This window comes from Homo sapiens, chromosome 9 (assembly GCF_000001405.40).
Source record: "Homo sapiens chromosome 9, GRCh38.p14 Primary Assembly".
Classification (NCBI taxonomy): Eukaryota; Metazoa; Chordata; class Mammalia; order Primates; family Hominidae; genus Homo; species Homo sapiens.
Window position 1 is genome coordinate 126,427,050 of NC_000009.12, and position 17,603 is coordinate 126,444,652.

Here is a 17,603-nt window from a genome sequence, read left to right on the forward strand (position 1 = left end):
AGCTAGTAGACGTCTCAGACAACACTGGACATGAATGAGAGAAATATAAATATTTACCACCTTGCGGGGGGGAGGAGGGCTCCATAAAATGCTGTAAACAATGTAACAATTGCTTTTCAATGATTATAACTCTAAGTTTGATAAGAACAGCTTATACATATATATATATCCATGTATTGGGGGGACACCTACTTGTTTGAAATGAATCTAAAATGTCTGAAAGTTGAGTGAGATGTTTCTTAAGAAATGTTCTTGTGGTGGGTGTCAGGCACCTTATGGGACTGGAGACCTCGGGGAATGTCAGGAAAGACAGATCTTCCCTGACCCCCTGCCCAAACCTGCTGCTCACAGCTGCCCCAGAGGCTTCCTATAAGGAGAGGGGCCACCAAGGAGAGCACAGTGCGGCTTTTCTAACCTAGGAGGGTTTTTTGTCTTACGGCAGGTTTTGCTTAACAAACGGGACTGTGGGATGGGAAATGATACCATCCTATTCTTTTGTTGTGTTTGTTGTTGTAATCTGATTTCTATCTCCAAGTGCACAGTTTTTAACCATAGAAAGCTTATTTATCTCTTTTGAAAAAAAATTGACATAGTAAAATTAAGCAAATACCTATTAAAACTGGCATATAATAAGACCAAAAAATCTCGAACACCCTATGAATGCAGGGTGAGCCACAGTGCAGAAACTCTGCAAAGCCACACAGTGCAGTGAGCTGCGGGGCTAGGACTGCTTTCCTCTTTAGGACCTAGACAGGTTGGCTCACTGACATCTTCATTTATCCATCAGCATTAGGCTGACTATTAAAGTGAAGGGGGCACACAATTGTCCCAGGACAGAAGCTGTAACCTGAATCTATCCTGGCAGACTGGGGTGTATTGGCCACTCCTCTGCCTTCAGCTTTTTTTCTTTTTTTTTTTTTGCTTTTCTTTTTGATTGCTGGAAAAGCCAGCTTATTGCCCTCCACAGCTGTTTGCTTTTTAAAAACCAGCCCCCCTTTCAGGATGTTTGACACCAGGAAAGATGTCGGTGTGGTCAAGTCAGTGTCCATCATCTCATCAGTTTGGATCATGGCCCCTTGTACAGAGAGAAGGAGGATTTTATCTGTAACTCAGAACCGTGGGTGAGCCATGTAGCTCTGACATTGGAGTAGGAAAGCACAAAGCAATTAAAAATAATTAATGATTTCTGAATATCAGCCTTCTCCATGCAGTTTTAATCTAGTCCTCATTTAAATTGGAAGATGGACATTTAATTATCAGTATTATGAAATTCATGATTTATATATTTCATCCAATTGGATAAAATTTCTGCCACCAGCTTTTCATCTTATGATGAAAAAAATGTGTATCTTACAATGTGATCATTTAAAAACTCATCTACAGCATACCAAACAATTCCAAACATATTTTCCTTTCATTTGCAGTGATTACATGATTTCTGTCTCTTAATTAGGAAAAAAAAAACTCACCCGGGAAATTGAAAATAAACTTAATACTTTAATGATCAGGAAGCACTGCAGGGTTGGGAAAATGAAGGGTAAAAGACTCAAACAATGGGGTGCTTGAGAAGCGCTGTTCTCTCCTGTGTCAGGTGTGCTAACACAACTGCTTGGCATGTTGTAATGTTCATGGTTTGATGCCACAGAATTTGCATCCACATTCTGGGTGTGCCATGTGCCTGTGGTTCTCCTTTTCCCTGTGCTCGGGTGAGTGTGTGGGCTGAGTGAGTGTGTTCCTGATAACCACCAAGGAGGGAAAGAGCCACTGTCTTCTGGTGCAAGCCCCTGAGTAGTGTTAGCCTCTGCTTTCACAGGGGTCCCTGTGGCCCTTGTCTTCAGTGGATATGTTCTCGTGGCTCGGGGTGGCATTGCATTTCTGACCCTGGCTTCCCTGAGGTTCTTCGCTCCACAGAGGATTTTCGTAATCACCGACAACTGGCTCAAGCGGTGGTGGGTGAGCGTATGGGAGGGTTGCCCCAGATCTGAGACAGGAACATCAATTTGGCACAGCCACTGATAATAGCATATGGGAAAATTCCTGAATGAAGTGAAAAGATATGTATAATAATTGTGCTTGAACCAAGGAGGAAAGAAGTCATTTTAAAGACAGATACATTTTTATCATCACCTATAAGAACCATTTTTATCATCCCCTATAAGAACCCTTGTCTATCCATCTCCTCTTGCCCTGACTGACAACAAAATCAAGTATAAAGAAAAATAGAATAAGAAAAAGAAGAAATGAATGGGAGCGGATGGGGAATTGATCGCATGGTGTATTTGTATATCCTGATGTAAAAGGTGCGGCTGACAGGTGGCCAGGTTTGCTCCGTACACAACCATGTGTGTGCTGTCAGGCGCACGCACACTGCCTTGTTTCGATTGATGAATTGCCTGCTTTCTTGATTAAACCTTCCGTCACTTAAGAAACAAAAAGCCTGTGTTTAGATGGCAGAGTGGGACATGTCAAAAAAATCTGTCTCCTTTACCTTTGTGCAGATGTTGGGCACAGACTGTAACATGTATTATTAAAATGAATGTGGCATTTACTGTGCATTATTCCTTTCCTGGGAGAAAGGACTGTAAATTATATGCTAATAATAAGCTTTAACCCTTTCGAAATGCAAAAGATTTAAGAGTGCAAATATTCATGTAGGCCTGGCTAATTGGATGTGCTTTTCTACATCCACCACGGTGGCTGTGTCACTGAAGTTAATGAACAGCGTGTGCAGGCAGACACACAGGGCACTTGGGGAACTCCTGCCTCCTGGAGGTTTTCTGCAGTGCGAGTGCCTCCTCCTGGACTTCACAGAGAGATAGACCCTGAGAACCCTGAGCTGGGCTCTGGGTCATCTTACTCCAGATGAAGTCCATGGTCAGGATCAGTTCCCCAGCAGGTCCTCTGCAGCTGAGTGTTAAGCGTGGGACCTCTCTTCGCACACCTGCATTCTCACTTAGAATGCAGGGCCCACAGAAGGCCGTGGGCCCGGGCCTTCTGGGCTGCAGTCTGGCAGGTATCAGGCTTTGGTGCCCAGCCCTTACTTGACTCTCTTCCTTGACCAGGCTTTTCTAGCCTCAGCCCAGTTGCCCAGGTAGCTGACTCATCTCTCCAAAGACCTCCTTGGTCCCCTTGCTCCTCAGATCACACCTTTGTGCCCCTCCACAGCCTGACTGCATTCATTCAGACCTCAGACCTCACCTGCCTGGTGTTGGGGCTGTCAACAACCAGCCCCACCCGTGTCCCACCAGCCTGGGTCGCTCCCTGCGTCCTCCTTGCCTTTGTCTTGCGCTATGCTTGCCCCGCCACTCCAGCAGCTCAGATTTCACCACCTTCTCTTCTCTCTGTCCCTGGCTGTGGCTCTGAAGGCCACTCCCAAGCTGCCTCTCCATCAGGCTTTTCTGATTCCTCTCCCGCTGCTGATGCTCTCTCCTGGTTTACCCCACACTACTCTGTTGGAGAGTTTTCACCTGTGAGCACCTTGAGTGAGAGGGCAGAGACCATATTTAGAGAGAATGGAGGCTCCCCTCTTTTTTTTTTTTTAATTGAGGAGGATGTAGGTAAACAAAGGCAAAGACAAGAGCAAGATTGTTCACTCCATTCACTCAACAGTCACCGAGAGCTGCCCTGTCCTGTGCTCCTGAGGGCAAGCCTGCTGCCCTGATAGGGCATTTGGGGTTGGAAGCATAGGGTCAGAATCTTGGCTCTGACACATACTGGCCATCATACAGTGCTGCTGTGAGCAGTTGCCAAGGTTGTGCACTGCACAAAATATGTGACTAGCATCCTCTAGAACTGTACAAGGACCCTGCACAATGCTACTTTGGGCAATGCTAGTATCCATACCTTTAAAACAATGCAGTAATGCCCGTTTCCTTCCTGGATTGTTGTGAAGATCTAGGGTAGGTAAGAACATTTCATAAACCAGGAAGCAGTGTAGGAATGTCACTTCTCTCCTTATTCAGCTCCCCTACAGGGATGTGATCCAAGAAAGAGCCCAAAGACTTGTTGAGAATTATCACATGGGACACGCTGGCTTGGGCCCAGCACGGTCTTCATCTTCTTAGCCGTGTGCTTCCTTATATAATTTTGATATATAAGATTACTTCTCAGAGTGCTCAGAGGAAATTTCTTCCTCAGTCCAGAGAAACTTGCAATAAAAGGCTCTCTGGCATGGCTCAGCTCAGTACCCCCTGGAAGCCGAGACATTCTGTCACGCATCACCACTTAGAAGTGGGCTATTTTCCGTGGCAAGCAGCCCACGATCCCTTTCTCAAGAAGGTGACAGAATGATGGCTTGGGGGCAGGAAGGAGAGAAGTGCTTGGCAGCGTGAGGCTGCAACTTCTATAAAATCTTTCAATGTACCTTTGGTTTTTTGGAGGAAAAGTGCCTGGGGGGCTGATTTCTGCTCTAGGCTTTCATTTCTGCTTTTCCTGTGCCCCATGGGTAGGAAGAAGTTAAGACTTTTTCCAGTTAAGTCATCATGAAAAATAAAAATATTACTAGGTGACAGATACCTCAGTGCTCTTAAACAGGCGGCCACCTTCCCACTGTGCTTTCCTTCTCTTTTTGGTTTTTAAGCATGGCAGAGCTTAGGCGGCACTGGTTTAATGGGCCACATCCCCTTCTTAACTTGGAAAAGGGTTAAATCTGTGGTCCAGGCAGCCGAGGGCAGCTGGATGAAGCAGGGTGGGAGCCCAAACAGCTGGGTGCAGGCCCTGTCTCTCCCACCGACTAGCCGAGTGAGGCCAGCAGAGATCCTAGCCTTTCTGGATCTAAATTCCACATCTCTCCATATCAGCAATTGCAGTAACAATATCGATCATTTGAACATAGCAATAGGTCGGCTCATTCTTATGGGACGCTTCCTGTGCACCAGGCATTGTCTGGTGTTTAAGGTGGAGGTGGTAATGCCCACCTCCCAGGACTTAAAGCTATGTGGGAAGGAGGCTTGTATATTCTGCAGCTTGAGATGCCCCAGGCCTCGCAGTGGCCAGCAAATGTGCATTTACTGCCCCTGGACTTCACAGACATTCTGTCCAAACACTGCCTTGACTGTAACGTTCCTAAACACATGAACACAGAAAAACCAACTTTCTGATACCTTTCTCCCTGTATGTTTATCTTCTTTGTCTAGTTTTTCAGCAGAAATATGCCCATTTCCCCCTGATAATTCCCTTCCTTAGAGACAGCATAATTGTAGACCTGGCCAGAGAAATGCTGAAAACAAAGGGAACCCCCTTGAGCCCAGCCCTTCACCTGCTCTTAGCACTTCTTCAGAGGTTTACTCTGGAGTGAATGAAGTAGTGTGACCAGACACTCCTGCCTAGAGGCAGCTTATACCAAATTAGCCTTTTGTTTCTTTCTCTACCTCTGTCTCTCTCAAAATAATAAACTCTCAGCTGAGAGGGGAAAATGATGAAGGCAACTTCTTTCATTGAAACACATTTAGTTGTTTTTGCATTATTAAAATGGATTAAATTAATTAAATGAATTTACTGAATAATACCCAGCCTTCCTCTTACTTACCCTGTGTAAGGTATGGCATATGCACTTGCCATGCATTATGTTATTTAATCCCAACAAATCCTTAACCAAGAAAATCTTTTACAGATGGGGAAACTGAGGTCTTGAGAGCTTGTGATCAGCTCACAGTTACACCTGTGGTACGTGGCAGGGCTGAGATTCAGACCCAGGTCTCTTTGACTGCAGACATTGAGCTCGAAACCACGGTACTGAGGATGCTTCTTTAGCACAGGTTGCGTGTGACCGTTTCCCTCCCCTCATCAACTTGAAGGTTGGAAATGGCACACAGACCTGGAGTGAATCGTGCTAGGACTAACTTGGTGTACTGGGCCTCAGCACTGTTTAAACTCTCACGTGGGCCCCTGGATGATCATCTCTGGGACCTCATCAGAGTGAGGCCTTTGACACTTGGCTGATGGCAATGCTGGATCCAAAGGAAAAAAGGAATAGGGGGTGTGGCTCCCATCACTCTTGCTGGGCAAAACAGTGAAGGTGGGGAGCCCAAGGCCTCCTTACTTAAAGTTAAATGACCTTGGGCAAGGAACTGAACCCTTCTGTGCCTTTGTCTCCTTACCTGTAAAATGGGGGTGACGGTGACTTATGGTGAAGCTTAGAACCATGCCTGGGACACAGAAAGTGCTATTGATGTATTGCTGTGATTGTTGGTATCCACAGCCCTGCCCTCCCAGCCCCTTCTCAGATCCTTTCCCAGCCAGGAAAGGGGATACACCAGGTATCCCCTCTGATACACCAGGTATCCCCTTTGATACACCAGGTATCAAAGAACCTCTGCCTTCATAGTGGGGGCTGCACTAGCCTTGCTGCTATAAACCTGTGTCTGGGGGAGCCCTTGGCACTGGGATGTCTCTTCGTGGTGGCCTTCTCTTAGCCTATAGTGATGGTGGGCAGCCCAAGCCCATCGTTTCACTTATTGGGTCTGACCCCCAAGTGTTCTTCTCCCCTACTCTAGCTCTCCTGTTCCGTGAGTCCCTGTACCCTGCCCATGGGCAGGGCTCTAGTTTGAACTGATAGTCACCTGTGTGCTGCCCTGCCTTTCCTGCTTGGAAGCTTCATTCTCTAGATTGGGCCTCCTAAGAGCCAACTTCTCCTAAACCCAAGCCCAAGATTACTGAGCCATTGCAGCCCGTGAGCATTCCTTGTGAGTATTCCCTGTGAGTGCTCCAGAATAACCCTCACCTGTGACCCAGTCATTCCCAGTCCCAGCTTCCACTCCTGCCTGCTTCCAGCCCCCTGAGTCCTCCAGCTGCCAGCATTGCCGAGCTCAAGCATCTCTGAGTTAAGACAGTAGTGGCAGGGCATTGGATTCCGAGTTGGGGTAAACTCTCGATGGCCTGCTAAGGATGGATACATGCGGTGCCAGAACTTGGGGAGAAGTTGAACAGTCGCACAAGCTTTGGTGATGAGATTTATCTTTCAGCTCTTACACAGTATGAGGGTCCCCCTTTTTTGTCAGAATGAATGCATTTAACTGCTGACATTAGGACAAAAGAAATTCCGATCTTTTTTAGAACAACGAAGCCACCTGTCTTGTTTGGACAGAGTACCTGAATCCAACTACTGTCACACAGTTGGTGTTTGTGCCCTGAATACTGAATGGCTTTTTCCCTCTTTTTATTAATGGCCAGTGATAGTCCTAAATGCATTTATGTTTAAAAAAAAAAATCTTCAATCCTGCAGCCTGGAGTTTGGATGGAATATATTTATCACCTATCCCAGAGAATAAGGTTCTTGATTCCCCAGATTTGTCTTACAATTGTCTGTAAGACAATGAATGATACAGAACTCTCCTCCAAGGTTGAGATCCTTTGTTAGAGAGCAGTTTCTTACGCCTGACTTGTTTTATAGCATGAACGATCGCATGATCCACTGGCGAGGCAACATCCATAATTTTGAATGAGGGAGTAAAGCTTGCCTCGGTGGCCCTAAGCATCGCTTCTGGTGACACACTTAGAAGTCCTTAATCGCTTGCTACCTAGAGGCAATAAACACACCTATCTTTATGTTCCATTGCCTGTGTGTTTACCTGAAATATGCCCTGTGTAGCAAAACGCCAGTTTCACTCCTGTGAGAAGGTCCTTGGCTCATGAATTGCACGGCCTTCACTCACCCCTATTTTGCCAAAGGTGGTAGTGCCTTTTGTAGGCCCAAGACGTAGCTTCTTTGGCCAGGAAACCCCTTGGCTATTTATGCTTCTTGTAAAACTCTGGCCATTTGCTTGGTTTCCGAGTTCTAAGAAAGGAGATCCATCTCTGGTCATCATGTGGAGTTCAGGGTTCATTCTGGAGGGCAAGATGATGTCTCCTTCACTGGTGTGTGCCTGATGCCCAATGCCCAGCCCAGGGCCTAGCATACAGGGGATGTTCCATGACACTCAATGTTTCGTTGATTCTGAGAGGACCTGGGTCTTAGAACTGGTTCACCCTTTTGTATCCACCCTTTCCAGCTACATTACTTTAGACAGTTTATATAACATTGCAGTCTGTTTTCTTTTTTTTTTTGTAATTTTGAATTATATTTTCTCTTCTGAATTTGAGGATTAAAGATAATGTACATGAAATACCCAGTGCCTAGTACCAAGAGGGCACTCCAGAAGTGGAGCTGCTATAACTGCCGTAAATATTGTTATTCCAGGGAATTGCTGCTTATTATACCAGAAGGCACTGGTCTCATTCACCCTGCAGTGTGACCTCACCTAAAAGTCCAGCCGGGGATGGAGAGGGTGCAGCTGACAGAGGGAGCTCATGAATGGTGGGACCTGGCATGGCTCAGGGAAACTTTTGGCATAATAGAAGGCAAACCCTCCCTTCTAGTTCAGAAATGTGTAATTGCTGGAGATGTTAGCTTGCTACTGGGTAAAATGATTTTAAAGAGAGAACTTCTCAACATTTAAATCAGCCTCAATTTTCCATGTTCCTTTTCATCAAGTCAGCTCTGGTTTGAGAAGGGATCATATCGGCACTCAACCCTTTAAATGATTTTCCTTCTTTGCCTTTCTTTTTCTTTCTCTTTGGCCTTGGCTCCTTCCTTTCCAACCACTCCCCTCCCAGAACCTCTTATTTTAGCCAAAAAAAAAAAAAAAAAGTTTCTTTCCTTGCTCCAGAATCACACCACCCACCGAGCACATCATCTGGAAGTCCCCTGTCCCTGAGCTCACTTGCTGCCAGGCCGGCGGCACCCAGAGGCTCGAAGGCCACAGGGGCACACCGTCTTTTCTCAGGGTTGGAGAGAGTAGATTAGACAACATCCTCAGATGTCCCGTCTCATGGCAGGTCACTGCCACTGTGAAGGGTACGGCTGTAGATGCGGGGGGACTGCTTGTTTCTTCAGGCTACATTTTTTAAAAAGAGATCATACCTTTTCTTTGGATTTAATGAGGACAGACATTTTAATCAGAGGTTAGTCATTTATTTTTGCAAACTATTGTTTTGATTCATCATTTTTGCAGATAATTAAATGGTTCAGTTGGCACAGTATGTCTACTTTATTAAAACAGGTAATTTTGGGGAAAAAAAGAGATGCTGTTTTTTGGATCACTGCACAAGAATTGCTTTTATCTTCATCTTTGAGCATAGTTTCTGGTTATTTTGCCAGGAGGCTCTCTCGTGTTCGGGCATTTGGGGTCCTTTCTGGTCTGGAGGGGCTTGCCCTTTGATGATTGGGATGTTAGCAGATACGCCCTTTGAAACGGGAGCTGAAGAGTAAATTCTGTGCAGCCGCCTTTTAGGAACACTCTTAGGTTTTAATTGGATTGGGAAAAAGAACCTACAAGTTATGAACTTTGCAGAGCAGCAGTTCTTATGCTAAAAACAGATTAATTGTAGCCCTCGCAGTGGGTGGAGTTTCAAAGTCAATTACTGCTTGTCCTATTATAATTTACACACACAGGATTTGAAAAAGTCTGCCACTTAGTATAAAAGTGAAAAGGTTACGTGTACTAGTTTGAGTATACCTATGACTTTTCATTTGTAAATGCTTTAGCTACATGTATGTGTATGTATGCAACTTGCAGCTGTGGAGCTGTAACTACATCTGTGAGCAAGATTCCTTATGAAGAGTAACCTTTAAGGTCTGGTTCCTTAAATCCGTAGTGGCTCAGCATATAGTCCTTTGTCTGGCAGTCCAGTCCACTTGTGGGCACAGTGGCTGGCCCCTGCAGAGCCTAAGGGGCACTCCACTCATGAGTCATGAACTAGTAAGGGAATGGCCCTTCCTGGGTCAATTTTTTAAAAGCGAATTGCTCACAACATTTGCTTTCTTTAATTTTTTCCATGTTTGTGTCCTGAATCAGTTAATTTACTCATTAAAAGAATTTATTTTAGGTGGACCAATTAAAACTTTGGAAGCTAATTTTTTGCTGAGCAGAGCAGACCTCTGAAAACACAATTTATAACATGGCTTCTGCCCTTCCACAGAGAGCTGTCTTATGGTACTGTAACCTCTGGTGCTTGCAGAAGTACAAAATTGCTGTTCTTTGTCCTCCAGCTCTGGAGCTGAGCTGCCGTGTGGGTGGGTTTCTCGAGCCTTCCCATTGTTTTAGGGTGAACAGGCAAGTCTGAAAAGTCCAGCCCAGCCCAGGAGTGGCATGCTGTATTTGTTTGCTTGCGTAAACTCCATAGTTTAATTTTTTTTAATAGGAAGCTGCTATGTAGTTCGGATATTTAAACAGTTATTAACCGAATGACAATTAACAGATTGCATAGACAGATTTTCTTTTGAAAACCTCTGAAATTGAGTACAGTTTGCAAAACTATCACGGCATAGTAATGACAATGAATTTTGATTTCCCGGAACTGATATTAGACTCCTTATTAAACTATGTGCATCTGCTTTTAATTTACTCCAAATAATTGGAAAATGCAATGAAGCTTTCCAATTAAAGCACGGCTTTATGCTGTTTAATAATACCCCCATAATATTATAGCTTATGAAGTGACAGGTGAGTTGGTGTATGAATAAAACATAAAGGCAGCAATAAGGGACAGAAAACCGGAGACAGTTGTGGGGATTTTAAATGCTGGATGTAATTTGCATATATTAATCTCTTCTTTTCAGCCTTATCAGGCGTTCTTCAGTATTTGAAGTTAAAATAGCGTTGACAGGCGGGAGTACGCTTAGTTTTTTCAAGGATTTATTACTTGTATAATTTCTGATCTTTAATAAGCAGATATGACTGATCCTCATAGTTCTATAGAAATCAGTTAATTGTTCCAGATGGCGTGTACTGATTATGCAAAATTACTTTTCACACCATTTTTTTTGTGATGGAGTTTGGAGTAAAATTAAATTTTTTATAGCCTTCTTATCATGCTGTTTTACAGTGGTTTTTCCACAGAAGTTGAATTTAATCTACTATATTACATTGACCAACACAGTTATTCTAATGTAGCATTTTGTGATTTGACAGAGAATAATAGAACACATTGCTCATTGTTCATTACTGTGTCCCTAATAAAAAGGAACTCCTGTGTATAGAACATAGCTGTTATTTATGAAGAATGCCTAATTCATACAGTTAAAAATGCAAAATTGTATTATGAAGTAGTTCCTTTTGGGGAGAGAATATCTGGAAAAAGCAAATGGAAATAGGCTTGTTGCTGCAGATTCTACATGCTAAGGGAGGAGCCTTCTTTTAATGACCAGCGTGTTTAAATTGTGCTACTTTCTCCTTTGAAGAAGGAAAAACCCAGATAATCTTATTCTATTAACAGAGGTGTCACTGGTTGACTTGTCTTGATTTACATAATCCCAAAAGTCTTTCATAATTGAATAGCATTTATAAAAGGTGGTTACACTTTAGTGTAAAGTATCCAAAAAAAAAAAGTCTAAAGGTGTCAATGATAATTCGTCTCTAACATTTTCCAAAGTGTCTGTTTATCACCAAGGCCCTTGTGTTGGTGTCGGATCCAAGTCCAGGTGGTGTGTACCCCTAGGTAACATTCATGTAGGCTGATCCTCGTCCAGGTTCTCAGATAACACTCTCTCTATGGCTCAGCTGCTAGTGGGATATGAAGTACTCAGCCGACTCACTCCAAAATGGGACTGAGGGACTGTCACCTTGATGCAGGAGTGGATGCAGTTTCCGTCCTTTGGGAGGACCTCTTCCCAGAGCCCAGTGGGGTGGGGGTAGGGGTAGAGAGCTCTCTGTTGCATCAGAAATCCTGTTTGGATATGCGGTATTTTAAATATAGCAGTAAATCCATAGAAAAATATTTCTCTGTATATAGTCTGACCTGTTTACAAAAGAGCCCATCACATATTAAGTCTTATCAGGACTTGTGTAGACTTGGGACTTATCTTTCTATTTTAAGTAGAGTTGAATCCCGTGTATGATACTCGATCGCTGCAAGGTCCATCTGCTTGCTCCTGATAGTTCTGGTCCGCCTCATCAGCCATTCCACAGGCTTGAGAACACGTCCTTGTTTGAACAGACTTGAGGAGGATTTGGATCTGTTTAAAGGGTTCGATTCCCTTAGCCCTGGGGGAATCGGACTTTTTTTTTTATTTTAATACACTTCCACCAGCAACACTGATTGCTCTTCATACAGGGGGCCCTGGAGTGGAAGCAGGCCTGCGTTGATGCCTCTGAGCAGGCTCTGGAGAAACAAAGACAAGCCACAGAAAGTGGCAGACCTGGGAGCTCTGAGAGCTCTGGGCAGGGAGCTCACAGGGTCCGCTGGGGGTGGGGGCGCTAGGCAGGGAGCTCACAGGGTCTGCTGGGGGTGGGGGCGCTGGGCGCAGGGTGAGAGTTGCTCTGTGGGAGTCTGGGGTCTCCACAGGGACCTGAAACACAGATTCTGTTAGAAACCCAGATGTTAGCACTGCCAGTACCACACAGATTGTACCATGTACCTTGTACTATATTCTGGTCTTCAGAATATTTTTGGTTAAACTCTTATTTTGTATCTACTCTGGTCTTGAAGGACATTTCACAGTAAGCCTCGAATAGTACTAGAATGACTAATTAAACCGAACATGAAGAAATGTGACTCAGAGCCTAGAGCACGCTCACACGTACAGTACCAACTCAATTCTGTATTCACTTTACCTCCAGAACTTCAGAAACGTGAAACCTTTCACATACCCTCTTCTGTAAACTCAAAATGTATTTTTGTGAAAATGAAAATTATATGAAAAAGAGAATGCATAAATCAGAGATGATTAAAAATATTTGTTCTAATGCAGTAATAATTTGGTAGTAATGCTTTCATCAGTATAGCTTAAGGCTACATTAAGTGGACAGACTTTATATGGATTCTCTAATTTTAATCTTCAAAATGCTATCTAATGTCTCATTAAGACTTGCATATAATGTATCTTAAGTACAGTCATTAAATATAGTTTAGGGAGATTTATGTTCAGATATTGCTTAAAGATGTTTTAATAGGCCCATTTACTCTGATGATATTAATGAGCTCTTAATACAGACTAAGCTTCTAAAACTAGTGGTAAAGACTCCCAGCCTGAACACAACAACTTGGAATTAATGCCTGGTTTGGACAGATGCCTGAGGGTGAGTCCTGCAGACACTCGAGGGTCAGCGCGAGCCCCTTGCTGTATGGAGCCTTGTTTCAGAAAGGGGCCTCCTGTAACGGGCTCTGGCTGCTGACTCCAGAGCACCCATTCTTCGGCCAGCCTGAGTACTGTCTTTTTTCTCCCCCAAACTGTGCACAGGACATGTGCTAACTAGGCCGAAGTACCTCTCCAAGGTTATTTGAGAGGCGCTGATAGCCTTGGCGGTGGCACTGGGGCCTGTGAGGGGTTAAAGGAGGCTGTTGCTGAACTTCCCGTGGAAGCATCTGCCAGGTAAGGTGTGCACAGTCTGGCATCGTTACGTGAAACAGCTTCCCTCTGCCACGAGTGAACTGTAAAAGGTCACATGGGTGTGCTTTCATCTTTCAGGCATTCATCCTAGCTGAAATACATGTAATAAAGTAGTCCTGCTAATTCAACATCAGAAAGAAAAAAAAAGCCCAACAGGAATCTCCGTGAGCCCCTCACACGCGTGAAACAGTTGTTCTCCAGGCCCCACTTCTAAACGTGTAGCAAAAAAAATCTGTTTTGGTATTTCCCTCTTTCAGAGAAATATTGAAAAGTACATTTTTTTTTTGTTTCAATTATTTTAAGGGAGGAAAAAAAAGAACCAGTGAGTTCAGAGACTTTTCTAATTACTAAATTGGTTTGTTATAAAAAGATAATAGCAAATTTCTTCTTTTCATAATTGGACATTTCTTCCCTGTAGGCTAATGCAGGCACAGCCCGTGCATGCACAATAAGTTATGCTTTTGAAAGCCATAACTAGCTAATAACAGCTACAGTGTCATCAGAGAGTAATGGTGTGCTGATTAGCATAATTAATGACAAATGGTGGTGCGGAATTGGTGGATTGGTTTAGCGGATGATGAATGCGGCGAGGCCTGGGCTGAGGCCTGCCAACTAGGCCTCGCTGGCTGTCAGCCCTTCTGTTCTCCCGATGCAGCCCTCATTAGTCACGATGGGAGGTGCCAGTTTGTATTCCGTTTGGAGCACAGAAAACTTAATAATCCAAGCAAATGTGGCTATCCCTTTTTCCTCTGTATTTACTCACAAAACCCTCTCACTCATTCCCATTGTGGCTGAACCATTAAGACACAGCTATTTCCAGATTCCTCTGCGAGGCTTGAAGGCGAAACAAAAGGGAGCATAATAGAGAGAGGCACGGATCCCAGAGCTTTCATCTGACCATCAATGAATTACTCTCACTAGGAAGACTTCTGTTTGGTGAACCCTGTTTATCTGTGTACTTTATAAGGGGAAAAGAGATGAACTCAGTAAGCGATACATTCTGTCCTAAAATAAGACTAGCATATTTATCTTTGACTTGATTAATCAGACCTAATTTGCATTCGCAAATGAGACTGATAAAAATGGATTTACCTTTTAACCTTTAGAGGAGGAAAGGTATTTCTCTGCAAGATTTCTGGGGCTATCGTTTCTTAACCGATAAGAAGCCACTCCTTTATCAATAAAGATGAAAATCCGCAATTTGCATTAGTGAATGGGACTGATTATTATATAGTTAATTAGCATCTGGAAATGAGGATTATCTTAATTACAAAGCACAATTTCCCTAATAGCTACAAAACTGTAAGTTTGATCCATGTGGAAATTGGTAACATTATTATGTAATTAGTGATAACATTAATAGTGTAGAATATTTAGATGTAATTTGCATATGCAAATGTGATTTACCTGAGCCAAACAAGTGGACCATTAATGATTAGAGCATGATGTAGCTGACTGAAAGTTCTAGATAGCTGAATGGTACCTATTATGCAGAATAACTAAATTATATAGTGGTAGAGTCAGCAAGGACCTTTTATATTTAGGTGGTCAGGGTGGATTTTGCTTTAAGAATTAGTAGCTGCTGGGTTTCATAATGGAGCTAACTGCTTGGAGAAATAGCTAGCCCATAATCATCTCCTTGACTTTGATTTTTTCATGCTTCCCTATATCCCTTGAATCTGAGATGTACTTTCCCTATGTATTTTAACAATTCTGAATTTTGGATCTGTCTTACAATTGATGTGTACTTTTAAAGCAGTAACACACATAAAGAATAATGGTGCAGTTTACAGTTCTTCAGGGGAGAATCAGACCTTTCTGAATTTTATCCGCAGGGCCCTAGAGGCTCCTCCCATCAGAAATGGTTCTTTGTATCTTCTGGGGTTCTATCTAACTTCCTCCCTCAGGCTGACATATGCTTCCCAAAGCCATGTACTCATGGTGGGGTGGATTTTAGAGTAGACATGGATGACCTTTTGAAAACTGTCATTCATAATAGCTTATCAGTGGATATCATTGTTCAGAATGGGACTAAAGTCAGTGTATTGATCAGTCTTTGCTTGGTTATCATGCCAGTAACAAACACCCCTCCAGATCACAATGGCTTACAGTTTCACTGTTTTGTAAAATGGAACTTGGAAATGTAAATTGGAACTTGAGTGACATATATCACCATGTCACTCAAGTTCCAATTTGGTGACCGTGGATTGGCTGGAACCCTGCTCCTTGTGTCTTTGCACTCTGGGACCCAGGCTGAAAGAGCAGGTCCCAACTGTAACTTGCTATTTTTATAGTAGAGGGAAGAGTGAGACCTGGAAGAAACAACCAGTGGCTCTTAAAGCTTCTGGCCATGGTGGCAAGGCCTACAGCCGGCCAACATGAGTTGGGCAGAAGTGTATCCTCTTCCCCCAATGTGCCTTTCACACGGCAGTGGGCAGATGGTCATACTGTTACAGGGAAGTGGGAACACATACTCGGGAATGGTGACACTACCCACTGGAGGAAGCTATTTTGAGTTTAAAATGTGAGTGTGTGCTGTAAAAATATAAAGTCAGTAATTATACTGGAAAAAAATAAGTGAATCTGAGACATCAGGCACCTTCCTAGAGTCTAGAAAACACTGGTGGCCGATAATGTCTGTAGCTTTTCCCTGTGCAGAATTTTATCTTCAACCCATCAAGAGTTTGTGTCCTCCTGGGGTGTTTGGGAGAGCTCAGGGATTTTGATGGGTGTTCAGCACAGTGGAAGTAGCACTACTTTCTGGGGTTTAAGCCCCATTTTGACCATTTCCAAACATGGGACCGTGATTCCTTTCTCTGGAACTCAGTTTGCCTAGCTGCAAAATGAAGCTGTTGGACAGGGTGGACCTCCTGTCCCTCTATCCTTCCACCAATCATTGAGGGCCAGGCACCCTGCAGGGGCTAGAACAGGTGCCTTGAGAGGTTTTGCCTCAGGGTAGGAGGGACTGAGGTTCCAACTGAGCATGACCCACCCGTCATTTCCGGTAAGAGCCTGATAAAAAGTTTGTTCCTAGACCAAACAGTTCATTGATATTTCTTCCTCTTTTAAAAAATAAAAAAACAGACACAAAGCTTTTCTTACCTGAATGATAAAAGTTACATGTTCATTGTAGAAAAGTTACAAAATATATGAAAACATTGGAAAGAAAATATCACAACCCCATTACCCAGAGAAACAGTATTTCAGTGTATGTCCTTTTAACACTTTTTCTATGCCATATGTTTACACTTAAAAGTGTATGTCTACCTAATTGTCCATTCTGGGTTCTTTTTAAGTCAGATTTATTGAAATATATTTACATGTAATAAAATCCAGGCTTTTTATGTGCACATTTCAGTGACTTTTGACCAATGTCAAACTACAGGATAGCCGCCTCCAGAAACAAGATACAGAATATAGCCAGGAGTCCCATAAGTTCACTTGCCTCCATTTCCGGCCCTTCCCTCCCCATCGCCAGTCCCTGGCAGTCACTTGCCTGCCCAGTGCTATCATATACATGGACTCATACAATATGTAGCTTTGTGTGTCTCTCAGCATAATATTTTTGAGAGTCTTCCATGTTATTGCATGTATCAGGAATTTGTTCCTTTCCAACACTCCAGGTGTCTATTCTGCTTTGAGACCTGTTCATGTACCTCGTTCCTTGTCATTAGGTCAGGTGGTCGTCAGGCTGGGATTAATGGTTGTATCATCCTCCCTCTTATGGATACAATGTACTTTACCTAGCCAGTCCTCAGTGGCTGAGTTTTTACATTATCTTCATTTCTAAAAGTTATACTTCGGTGAATGTTCCTTTAAATAAATATATAAACACATTTTTAATTATTTTGACATATAATGACAAATTGTCCCCCGTAATGGTTGAATTTGTTTACACTTCTGCATGTATGAAAGAGGTTTGTTTGGTTTGGTTTTCCACACAAGACTTGCTAACTGGTAATTTTTTTTTTTTAATTTTTATCAATTGGAAGGTGAAGGGGTATTTTATTGTTAATTTACATTTCTTTGATTACTGCTAAGGTTGCCTGTGTTGAGCCACTTGTGTTACTCGAGACCTTTGCCTGTCTGTCCGCAGCATCTCTTCCATTGCAGTCTTAATTTTGTTTGTGGAGTTGCAGGAGCTCCTCTTGCAACAAGGCCTTCTTTTGCTCTCACATTACTACCGCTTGTTTCCAGTTTCTGCTTTGTACTTTCATTTCATGTTTCCTTTATGTTT

General features: G+C 43.2%; 1 protein-coding gene across 6 annotated transcripts in view, besides 1 other annotated feature; it reads left to right on the forward strand.

The window, feature by feature from the left end:
• MVB12B (multivesicular body subunit 12B) overlaps positions 1–17,603 on the forward strand; it is a 180,212-nt gene that overhangs the window by 100,221 nt on the left and 62,388 nt on the right. The window lies entirely within an intron of this gene.
• Positions 9,072–11,411: an enhancer, noted in NCBI's record as "VISTA enhancer hs186". NCBI's record gives its function as "enhancer in: midbrain (mesencephalon)[6/8]" and the evidence as "EXISTENCE:transgenic organism evidence [ECO:0001131][PMID:17130149]".